Source organism: Homo sapiens, chromosome 6 (genome assembly GCF_000001405.40).
Source record: "Homo sapiens chromosome 6, GRCh38.p14 Primary Assembly".
Classification (NCBI taxonomy): domain Eukaryota; kingdom Metazoa; phylum Chordata; class Mammalia; order Primates; family Hominidae; genus Homo; species Homo sapiens.
In genome coordinates, this window is record NC_000006.12 from 41,207,719 (window position 1) to 41,219,075 (window position 11,357).

The window sequence follows — 11,357 nt, forward strand, 5'->3', positions numbered from 1 at the left end:
ACAATTCAAGATGAGACTTGGGTGGGGACACAACCAAACCATATCAATGCCCCTCCCCAGAAAGAGCAAAAGAAAATGGTACTCTCTCTCTCTCTCTTTTTTTTTTTTTTTTTTTTGGAGACGGAGTTTTGCTCTTTTTGCCCATGCTGGAGTGCAATGGCGTGATCTCAGCTCACCACAACCTCTGCCTCCCAGGTTCAAGCGATTCTCCTGCCTCAGCCTCCCAAGTAGCTGGGATTACAGGCATGTGCCAGCACGCCCAGCTAATTTTGTATTTTTAGTACAGATGGGGTTTCTCCATGTTGGTCTGGCTGGTCTCGAAATCCCGACCTCAGGTGATCCACCCACCGTGGCCTCCCAAAGTGCTGGGATTACAGGCATGAACCACTGCAGCCGGCCAGAAAATGGTACTTTCTTTATGGTGGCCTTTTTCAGGGCTGGCATTCAGCTGCTATGCAGTGGTACCCCAAATTGGTTGTTCATGGTGGACCCCCATTTTGAGTAGTCAATCCCAGTCTCGCTAGATGTTACCTGGTTGGAAAATGACTGTGCCTTTTCTTGCTTCACAGATGTGTGCTCCTCTTCTGTTCCCCAAAACATTTATCTTTCACCCACCATCAAATATTGTTAGTTCAACTTGATTTTCTCTTTTAGGCTATGAATCTCCTCACACGTTAAACAAACAGAATTTTGACCCCTGATGATGAGATTCCATTGAATGTTCTGGGTCCTGTTTTAGGCTGCTGAATCCACTGCTCTTGTCATTTAAGGCATCTGATTTTTTCTTTTACTTCTAGGACTTCCTCAGTTTCCAGTCTGCTGATTACAGCCTTTCTTAGTTTCAATTTTATTATTTATTTTTAAGTCATTTCTTTCTCATTTAGGGTGGGAGGGGAGGAGGGTGAGGGGATACATCTGCTTTCTTGCTTAGTTGCCTCTGACACATTTCAGTTCAGAGGTTGAATTTAATCAAGCACAAGAGGAAATTGATAGGACTCTCGGGTAGACCACTAACAAACAGGGAAAATGTGAGGCATCCTGGAGACCTGCTGAGGTGGGGCTGAGAGAACCACGGAGTGCTGGAGAGGAGCCCGGGCACAGCTGAAGATGCTGAGCTGAGCGTTGACCCGGATGCAGAAACCCCCACCCCAGGTCTTTCCAATGGCGAAAGTCAGGGCAGGGGAAGTAGATCTAAGAGGGGTCAGTGCAGGGGTGAGGGGTCACCACCAGGGAGATCAGGGGCTGAAAGTTCTCTCCAATAGGCTTAGTGCTGGCCTTTCCTCACAGACAAATGGGGGGCAACGCTTAGGGCAGCTCCCAATAGCTGGGCAGGGGAAGAACTGGGATTCATCCTGGATCCATGCTGTGACTCATGCACCCAAGGGTCCTGGGGCAAGGCTGGGCTGATACAATCAGAAACCTCCATCACTGCTGTCCTGAAATGTGGCAAGAGAAGGAACGTCATGAATGGAAGTGATACTTTCCCTGACCCTCTTTTCTGCCTCTTTGTCTCACCCTGTGCCTGTTACCTGTTCCTCCTCTTTCCCTCCCTTCTCCCTGTCACCTGCTTCCTTCCCTGCCCCTTCCTGTCTCCTAAACCTTCTACCCAGGCACTCTCAGCTTTGTCCTCCTGGCCTTGTTCCTCTCAGGACAAAGACAGAGGCAGAGTCCTGGAATGGGACTCCCAGAAAGCCTCTGTCTTTTTCTAAGGTTTGTGTCTGCAGGAAGGCAGAGATTGCAAGGAAACACATGTTTAAATTGGACTCAGCTGTCATTTTTCCTGCCTCTGTGATCTGGCTTCTTTTTCCTAGCCATCTTTCTAGGAACAGAGTCTGGCCCCAGCTCCATTGCCCCCCAGGCCAAACCCAGGCCCCACTCACCTGTGGCACCTGCAGGTCAGGAACACAAACAGGACTCACAGCATCAGGCCCTTGGCCAGGAGGAGTCCACACAACACAGAGACCAGGAGTTTGGGGCCAGCTGAGCCAAGGCAGATGGGGGCACTTGATTTCCTGCAGTGAGGAAGGAGAAAGGAGGATGGACTTGGGCCAGGATGTCACCTGCTGCTGCTGTGTCCCTTAGCCAGGCCCCTTGTGGCTGGAGATGTTTGTATAGAGGCCCGCCCTGAACTGACTATGACACAGGGGTATGGGGCAGGAGCCACAGAGGTCTCTGGGACTGAGAGGAGACCTAGTCAGAAGGAACTTCAAAGTCTTGAATGGAGGAAAAAGCTGGCCAGGGGAAGAACAAGGGATTGGAGTTCAGGGAAGGGGAGGGATAGAGCCGGGGCAGTAGGAACTCTCCCTAACTAGGTCAGGTAGGACAGGACTATCAGGAGCCTCTTAGGAATCAGAGCAAAGGGCATCTTTAAGACCGGCCAAGATATCACACCTGAAGGAATGAGGCCCAGACACTGCACAGGACCTGACTAGACCCTTAGAAGCAGTGACAGAGCACAGACCTAGACCTCCTGTCTGCTGGTGCCAGCGGTCCTCCCAGGTCCCCTCTGTGTGGCGCCTACTCCTGGCCTGCCTATCTCTGATTCTGGGACTACTACCCTTTCCCAGCAAATCTGCTTTTCCCTTGTGGCCTCAGTAGCTTCCTGCTTCAGTATTACTTAATATTTGGTAAAGCCAGTGACTTCTTTTTATTTTCACTTTTTCATGGTTGATTTAGCTAGTCATGCATCATCTTTTTTTCATATAATTTTAGAGTAAACTTTTCAAGTTCTTTACAAAAGTAAACTGAAGTTGTGTTTGGGATTACATTTAAAGACTTTTTAATTTGGGGGAAATTGACATCTTTACAATGTTATTGCCTCTTCCAAAATCATGGATTATTTCTCTTTATTCAGATCACCTGTCATTTTTTAGCATTTTGTAGTTTTCTCCAAATAGGTCTTGCTTAAATTAATTCTTTCTAGAAACTTAATGATTTTGTCACTATAATGAAAACTATCTTATTTTTCTAAATGTTTATTTTTCATAGAGATCTACTTGTGGCGTATGTAGGTTGATTTTGTATCTGGCAGCCTTGCTAAATTCTCTTATGAGATTTAATAGTTTGTTGTTTCTCATTCTTTTTCTGGATAGATGATCCCATCATCTGCAAGTCATGACAGTTTTTTCTCTTCTTGTCTAATCTTCTTTCTTGTAACTTGTTTTCCTTTCCTTCAAGCATTGGTCAGAACCTCTAATATTATAGAAGACATTAATGGTAGCTGCAAAAATCCTGAATTTGAGTTTATGCTTTCTCCACTAAATAATGTTTACTGTAATATTGGTGTACAATCTTTACCAAGTTATCTGTTCTTATTTCCATTTTTAAGAGCTTTTTCATATAATATAAATGTGCTCAAGGTCCCCAAATGCTTTTTGTGCAGCAGTTGACTTTTTTCCCTAGTTTATGAATTCGGTTCACTTATATTAATAGATTTTTTCTGAAGTTGAACAATCCTTTATGTTTTGTGATAAAATTCTACTCAATCATAATACAGTCTTCTTTTTGATGCACTCTTGAATTCAGTTAGCTAATGGTAATTTGGGAATTGACTCCACGGGCATCAGAGAAATAAACCTATAATTTAGTTTTCTTATAACCCCTGTAACTGGTTTTGTGATTTTGATGACACTAGCCCCTTCAAATAACCTGGGCTGTTCTTGCTTCTTTTCTATTGTCTGCAACATCTTGTATGAAATATAAATCAAATGTTTCTTAAAAGATTGAGTTACTGGCAAAACCACGTGAGTCTTGAATTTTCTGTGAGGGTGGGGCTTATCTACCATTTCAGTTTTTCTATTTATTTATCTATTGAAATCTGTTTCTCCTTGTGTTAATCTTCTCAGTTCATATTTTTTTAAGGAATTTGTGCACTTCTAAGGTTTAAAACAACAAGATTTTGTTCAGGATTTATTTTAAAATCTCTATAGAAAGAGTGCATGGTTATTTTCTTCTTTTTCTTCAATTTGTGGTTATCATCTTCTTTTATCTTCATTTGTCTTGACAAGAATATGGCTATCTTTTTAAACTTTCAAAGAATGAATTATGACTTACCTTGATCTTCATTTTCAATCATTCAATTTATTTCAGCGCTTACCATGATTCTTTCCCTCCTTTATGATTCTTTGGGCTTGCCCTGATGCTCACGTTCCATCTTCTTAAGATGCTTCCTTAGCTCATTAATTTGAAAGCTTTCATGTTTTCCAACAAATATATTCAAAGCTACTAATTACTCTCCAATATTAACTATGCCCCATACTTTTTGATATGTAGTGGTCATATTATCAAAATATATTTTATTACATACTTAATGATTCACATATGAATGTATTAATAATTAGTTTGAAAAGTGCTATTTTATCTTTACTTCTCTTATGCATTCTTAATGTCATTGCATTGGGTTTGGAGAATATATTCTGTGTCATACTGATTCTTTGGAATTTCTTCATGCTTCTTATATGTCCTCATACAAGGTGTCCTTTTTTAAATACATTCCTTTTATTTGAAAGAATGTATACTATCTGTTTTTAATTATGTAGAGGGTTATAAACATAGGTAGGTCTACTTATACACGGTTCATATAATACATATTATGAGTACTGTATTTTATAAAACATACATAATACATTTATATAGTTTAGAACAGTTTCAGTCTGAAACTACATATTTATATATTTGAAAATATTAATTTAAAAGTATAATTTATTACATATTCATTCTATATTCTTATACATATCTCATAATATATATAACACATTTATAAATATTATATGATGGCATAGTACCTGGAATTTGTTAGTTATTTGGCTTAGAACTTAGATCCCTTTATTTGGTTTTGGTCTGACTGGTCTTTGTTCCTCTGAGAGGTATGTGAGCCTCCAACTACAATAGCTAATATTTACTTCTCCTTGCATTTCTGATAGTGTTGTTTCATATATTTCATGGCCAAAATTTAGGCAGACATGCTTATGATGGCTCTATTTTCACATTCAAGCTCATCTTTCATCAGTATAGACAATGTATCTTTGTCTATTTTATAGACAAATTTATGGACATGATATTTTACCTTAAATTCTATTTTGTTCAATATTAAGAGTGCCAGAACAGTTCATTTTGTTTCCTAATAGTCAAATATAGTTTTCTAACTTTTTGAACTTTTTAAGATGTTTTTGTAAGTGTATCTATCTCTTATAGGTAATATAACATTGGAATTTTTAAAACTCAGAGTGTGTCTGTCCTTATTTTGTGAATTTAATCCACTTAAATTTATTGGAATTGCATTTATGTTAGGACTTAGCTCTACCATTTTATTTTATTTTTCCATTTACTGTGCTTTATTTTTTTAATTCATATCTAACTTTCCTTTGGCTAGAGTTTCATTTTGCTAGATGAAAGGATATACTTTCTCTTGATGTAACCTGAAGACTCATATCTACATTGATTTAGTACAATTGCTACATTGAGCTTGTCTCATGAAACAAGTACCCAACCATCCTTTCATGAGCCTCTAGTGTCTCCTTTTCACCCCGTGTTGATATAGTCTAGAACAAGGGTCCCCAACCCCTGAGCTACAGACCGTACCAGTTCCTAGCCTGTTAGGAATAGGGCCACACAGCAGGAGCTGAGTGGTGGGCAAGTGAAAGAAACTTCATCTGTATTTACAGCTTCTCCCCATCACTTGCATCACCTCCTCATCTCCACCTTCTGTCAGAGCAGTGGCGACATTAGATTCTCATAGTAACACAAACCCTATTGTGAACTGCGCATACCAGGGATCTAGTTTGCATGCTCCTTATGAAAATCAAACACCTGATGATCTGTCACTGTCTCCCATCACCCCCAGATGGGACTGTCTAGTTGTAGGAAAACAAGCTCAGGTCTCCCACAGATTCTACATTATGATGAGTTGTATAATTACTTTATTATATATTACAATGTAGTAATAATAGAAGTAAAGTGCACAATAACAATAATGCACTTGAATCATCCTGAAATCATCCCCCTGTCTTAGTCACAGATAACTTGATTTCCACAAAACCAGTCCCTGGTGCCATAAAGGTTGGGGATCACTGGTCTAGAATGTTATTTTTCAATGATCATGAAAGTATTTTCTCTTATTCTTCATTTAGCTCCTACCTGCATTTTATATGAATCAAAAAATATAAAAATAAACATTCCCAAGATGCTGGGCACACTTACTCCCTCACCTCTTGCAGCATCCCCAGGGTTTATTTTTCATCCTGGCTTCCTTTCTCTGGGAGTGTTTTCAGTGGGGATGTTTGCATGTGGCAAACCTTCTGAGGCCTTGAGAATCCAGAGGTTTTATGATTTCACATTGGAGTGACAATTTGGCTGAATACAAAACACTATATACAAAGTTTTTCTTTAGTACTTTAGAAATATTACTCAATTGTCTTCTTACCTCTAGTGTTCCTCTTAAGAACTCAGAGGGAATTCTAATCTTGTTGCCTTGTAGGTGATCTGAAAGCCTTCAGACTTTTCCCTCTGTTTTTGATGTGCTTCCCTTTTACTTAATGGGTCTACTGGTGTTTTTTGTGTGTGTGCTGTTTTCCCCTCTTTGGCAATTTATGAATCTTTTCAATGTGAGGTCTTTTCTTCTTCTATAGTTTTGAAAAGTTTCCTTAGATTCTTTCTTCAAATGTTTCTTTCTTTCATCCTTTATCTCCCACAGGGGTTCTTGATACCGATATATTAGTACATCTAGTTTTCTCCTTCATGTCTCCTAACTTGTCTTTGATTTTTAAATCTCCAGTTCTTTCCAGGACCTTCCATGAGAATTCCTCACTCCTCTTCCTGCTCACTGTCCAGCCACAGCCATCCTTCATCACATACATTATGGGTCTATAATATTTTTCACAACTATGATTGCGATTTGGCTCTTTTTTTCGATGGATCTTCCTTATGATCCATGTTAGAAATGCAAAATGCTTGTTCCCCAGTGCTGCAAGAAAAGCTTCGAACATAAATTTAATTTTCTCAGCCAGGCAATTTTTACTTTCTGCAGAAAGGGTGCTTCTCACAGATGAAACAACGGCTGCAGAAAGGGTACTCCTCACAGATGAAACAACAGCGAGAGCACATCTGGACAGGGGAGGGGCAGCAGTTCTTATTCCTGATGGTGGTAGCCCCTACTGCTGTGTCATTCCCCTAGTGGCTAGGGTTGGACCGCACAGCCTAAGCTAATACCGATTGGCTATGGAGAGGGCAGGGGTATGAGCCAGAGTGGTGGGGTGAGTAGTTTAGCAGGAAGGACGGTTAGGAACAGGTAACTAAAGGTGACTTAGGTCAGAGCAGGTGAACAGGATGAGTCAGGATGGAGCAGGTGACCAGAGGTGACTCAAGTCAAAGCAAGTGACCAGGATGAGTCAGGATGGAGCAGGTGACCAGCGGAACAGATGTGAACTATTGATTAGGACTGGCAGGAAAGTTGTTTACTGAAACTAGAAGCAAGGGGCCAAAGAGAACCAGGAAGTTAAACTTTAAAATGGAGAATCAAAGAATAAGAGAGCTGAATATACTGACATACTGATTCCTAGAAGAGAAACTTGGGGTTCACTATATTTAACAATCCACATAGTTCATGTCTCCCCTCAACCCTTTAGCCAGACTGATCACAGGTACTTACAGTTCCTGGGGAATGGGAAGTTCCCATAGTTCTGCTTCACAAGTTTCTATTGTTGGCTGTGTTGTCATTCTTCTAAGGCAGTGCTTCTACCAAGAAGCCTAGGTATTTTGGCTTGTGAATTCAGATTCGCCTAGGCATATTAGATATGAATCTGGTAATGGGGAAGAACAGAGGCTAAATCCTCTGCCTGTTGAGGGTTAAAAGTGGAGGGGAAAAGCCCTAGAGCAGCAGTCCCCAACCTTTTTGGCACCTGGGACCTGTTTTGTGGAAGACAATTTTTCCACTGACCAGAATGTGAGGGGTGGTTTCAGGATGATTGAAGCACATTATATTTGTAGTGCACTTTCTTTCTATTATTATTGCATTGTAATGTATAATGAAATAATTATACAACTCACCATAATGCAGAATCTGTGGAATCCCTGAGCTTGTTTTCCTGCAACTGGATGGCCCCATCTGGGAGTGATGGGAGATAGTGACAGATCATTAGCCATTCAATTTTCATAAGGAGCGTGCAACCTACAACCCTTGCATGCACAGTTCACAACAGGGGTCATGCTACTATGAGAATCTAATGCTGCCACTGATTTGACAGGAGGCGGAGCTCAGGCGGTAAAGCAAGCTATGAAAAGAGGCTGTAATTCAGATGAACTTCACTGGCTCACCACTCACCTCCTGCTCTGCGGCTCAGTCTCTAACAGGCTTGGGGACCACTGCCCTAGAGCACAAGACCCCAGGGACCCCCATTAACTGCGTGCTTGTTCTCTGGTTAGGGTTTTACCTTCAAACTCCCTGAGAGATAGTCTGTTTGTAATCCACCCGCGCTGGAGTTTGCAGGGGGAGAGGGCTACGGAGCAAATGCTCTGGCAGTTAGTTGTCTATTTCCATCAATAGCTCATGGCTTTTGCTGTGCTCCATGGTCCCCCAGGGCACCTGTGACCTAGTCTATTGCAGCCTATTCCTCCAGTTAAGGGGAGGCCGTCATGGCCTCAAAACTCATGACTACAAGGATAGGAGCAGAATTTAAGAGTATTCCTCTCACCTTTCTCTGGCTGACATCTCCAGCCACCATCTGCCCCAGGGTGCAGTCACTCTATTCACACTCACCCTTCAACACACCAACACGGTCTAAGGTTTCCACATTTTCTGGGTTCCATTTTGTTTCATTGCAGAAATCCATGTTGAACTGTCTTTTCCATGGTTCCTCCACAATTAACAACCTGCATCCTCTTCCCCTTTCCTCTCTAACAAACTTTGAGTCATGGCCTGGGGGCTCCACGGCTGTAACCTATGCCCCAACCCACCAGAGAAGGATCCTTGGGTGCCCTGGACCTGATTTCAGGGTTCAGGAGCTAATCAGGCCGTCCCTTCCCAAGACCTCCCTCCCAGTGTTAAAATCCCTGAACTGAGGCCTGAGATCTCCATACCCAGCTAAAGTTAAGTCTGGCACTGTCCTCTCCATGCTGGCGGGAGGCCAGGGACAGGAGGGCTGGGACACACATGTGCAAGGTGTTCCATATGGACTCCCCTCTGGGGACAGCTGCCCATATTCGTGAGAACATGGCAATCTTCTGATCACATCAGATAGTGCATGTTTCTCTCCCTAGGAGACAGCGGACCCTGAAGGTAGCTTCCCACAAGCCCAGGCCCCAAGAGATCAGTCCTCAGAGGCAGGCCTCCCTGGTTTCCCCTTCCCTGAATCTGAGGCTCCCAAGCTGCCTGGTGACTCCTCTAATCTCCCCCCACCGAGGCCTCCAACCTACCTGTGTTTGTTGGGAGCCAGGTGAGGGTCCACGTAGGAGACGTGGTTGGGGCTAAAGGAAAAAGACAGCAAACACTGACTCTCCAGGGGCCCAGAAGTGAGCAGGGTCTACCCTATATATGAGAGGAGGTAGGGGCCCAGAGCCAGACCCTCAGGATGCCTTAAGCCAGGAGTGGCCTGAGCCTAAGATCTGCATGACAGAGTTGTTGGCGTGTGTGTGTTAGTGTGTGTGTGAAAAGAAGAGTTGTGGGTGTGCCTGTGTAAGACAAAGAGAGACGCAGAGTGACAGAGAGACTGTGTCTCTGTCCAGGGACCTCTGGGGGTATCTTCCCAACAGTTGAGGCCAGGATGTGCCGGGTGAAGGAGAGGTGAGAGTCCATGTCTGGGTACAGGATCTTTGCTCCCTTCGGACCAGAGCAGAAGACCTGGCAGGATGGGGGATGATAGAGGCATGGGAGTGGGTAAGTGACTTTCCTTCAGGTCCCTGGGGGGTGGCACAGTGGTATTTCCTCAAGAAAAGAGCTCACCTGCAAACACCACCAGGCTGACATCTCTGAGAACAGTGATGATGTTTTTGGAAGTGTTGTAGATTTCACACCAGTAGGATCCCGAGTCCTCCTTCAGCTGAATCATGGTGATTTTGAAGATGCTAGCATTTGGCTTGTCCCAGATTGTGTAATGAGACTTCTGAACTGCTGTCTGGGGCTTGGAGCTGGTGACAAGTAAGGTACACCGACTTGGCGATGTCTGCTGACACCAGGATTTGGGCTGATAGGACCCTCTCTTGGGTGAGTACTGGCATTGCAGGAAGAGGGTCTGTCCTTAGTGTTTGTGAAGTTCTTCAGGCACAGCGCCCTTTACCCAGGAACCTGCAGAAAGAAACCCAGGTCAGAGCTCTGGAGAGATGCATGACACACAATTTACCTAACTAAAAACCCTGCACATGAACACCTGAAACTAAAAGGTTTTTTTTTAAGGAAACCAAATAATGACAAAAAATAAAATGTAATCCACCAATCTTCATAGTTCAGCTGTGAAAAACACTTGTAAAAACACTAGTAAAAGGGATTGCTGGGTCAAATGGTATTTCTGGTTCTAGATCCTTGAGGAATTGCCACACTGTCTTCCACAATGGTTGGACTCATTTACACTCCCACCAACAGTGTAAAAGTGTTCCTATTTCTCCACATCCTCTCCAGCATCTGTTGTTTCCTGACTTTTTAATGATTGCCATTCTAACCGGCATGAGATGATATCTCATTGTGGTTTTGATTTGCATTTCTCTAATGATCAATGATGATGAGCTTTTTTTCTTATGTTTGTTGGCTGCATAAATGTAGGATTATAAATCATTCTACTATAAAGACACATGCACACGTATGTTTATTGCAGCACTGTTCGCAGTAGCAAAGACTTGGAACCAACCCAAATGTCTATCAATGATAGACTGGATAAAGAAAATGTGGCACATACACACCATGGAATACTATGCACCAAAAAAAGGATGAGTTCATGTTCTTTGCAGGGACTTGGATGAAGCTGGAAGCCATCATTCTCAGCAAACTAACACAGGAACAGAAAACCAAACACCACATGTTCTCATTCATAAGTGGGAGTTGTACAATGAGAACACATGGACACGGGGAGGGGAACATCACACACTGGGGCCTGTCAGGGGTTGCGGGGCTAGGGGAGGGATAGCTTTAGGAGAAATACCTAATGTAGATGACGGGTTGATGAATGCAGCAAACCACCATGGCACGCGTATACCTATGTAACAAATCTACAAGTTCTGCACATGTATCCCAGAACTTAAAGTACAATAATAATAAGAAGAATATTAAGGGATAACCCCCCAAAAATACTAGTAAAAGATTGTGAATGATGCATATGGACTTAACCAAAAGCTATGATATACCTATGTCAGGAGGGTGGAGACTTGGGTAGTTT

The 11,357-nt window shown here is 42.6% G+C and overlaps 1 pseudogene across 1 annotated transcript, besides 2 other annotated features; it reads right to left on the minus strand.

Moving 5' to 3' along the window:
* Positions 775–884: an enhancer, noted in NCBI's record as "active region_24504". NCBI's record gives its function as "activates an Ori minimal core promoter by ATAC-STARR-seq in GM12878 lymphoblastoid cells {active_cell/tissue: GM12878}" and the evidence as "EXISTENCE:reporter gene assay evidence [ECO:0000049][PMID:35858748]".
* Positions 836–10,229, minus strand: TREML3P (triggering receptor expressed on myeloid cells like 3, pseudogene; annotated as a pseudogene). The gene is made up of 5 exons (NR_027256.1): positions 9,935–10,229; positions 9,409–9,459; positions 8,044–8,101; positions 1,881–2,012; positions 836–1,436 (listed from the first exon to the last, which is right to left on the minus strand). The product of NR_027256.1 is annotated as a triggering receptor expressed on myeloid cells like 3, pseudogene (transcript).
* Positions 6,846–8,045: an enhancer, noted in NCBI's record as "BRD4-independent group 4 enhancer chr6:41182302-41183501 (GRCh37/hg19 assembly coordinates)". NCBI's record gives its function as "activates an origin of replication core promoter dependent on BRD2, P300/CBP, MED14 and CDK7 cofactors, and independent of BRD4, by STARR-seq in HCT116 cells {active_cell/tissue: HCT116}" and the evidence as "EXISTENCE:reporter gene assay evidence [ECO:0000049][PMID:35650434]".
* Positions 10,230–11,357: the final 1,128 nt, after the last annotated feature.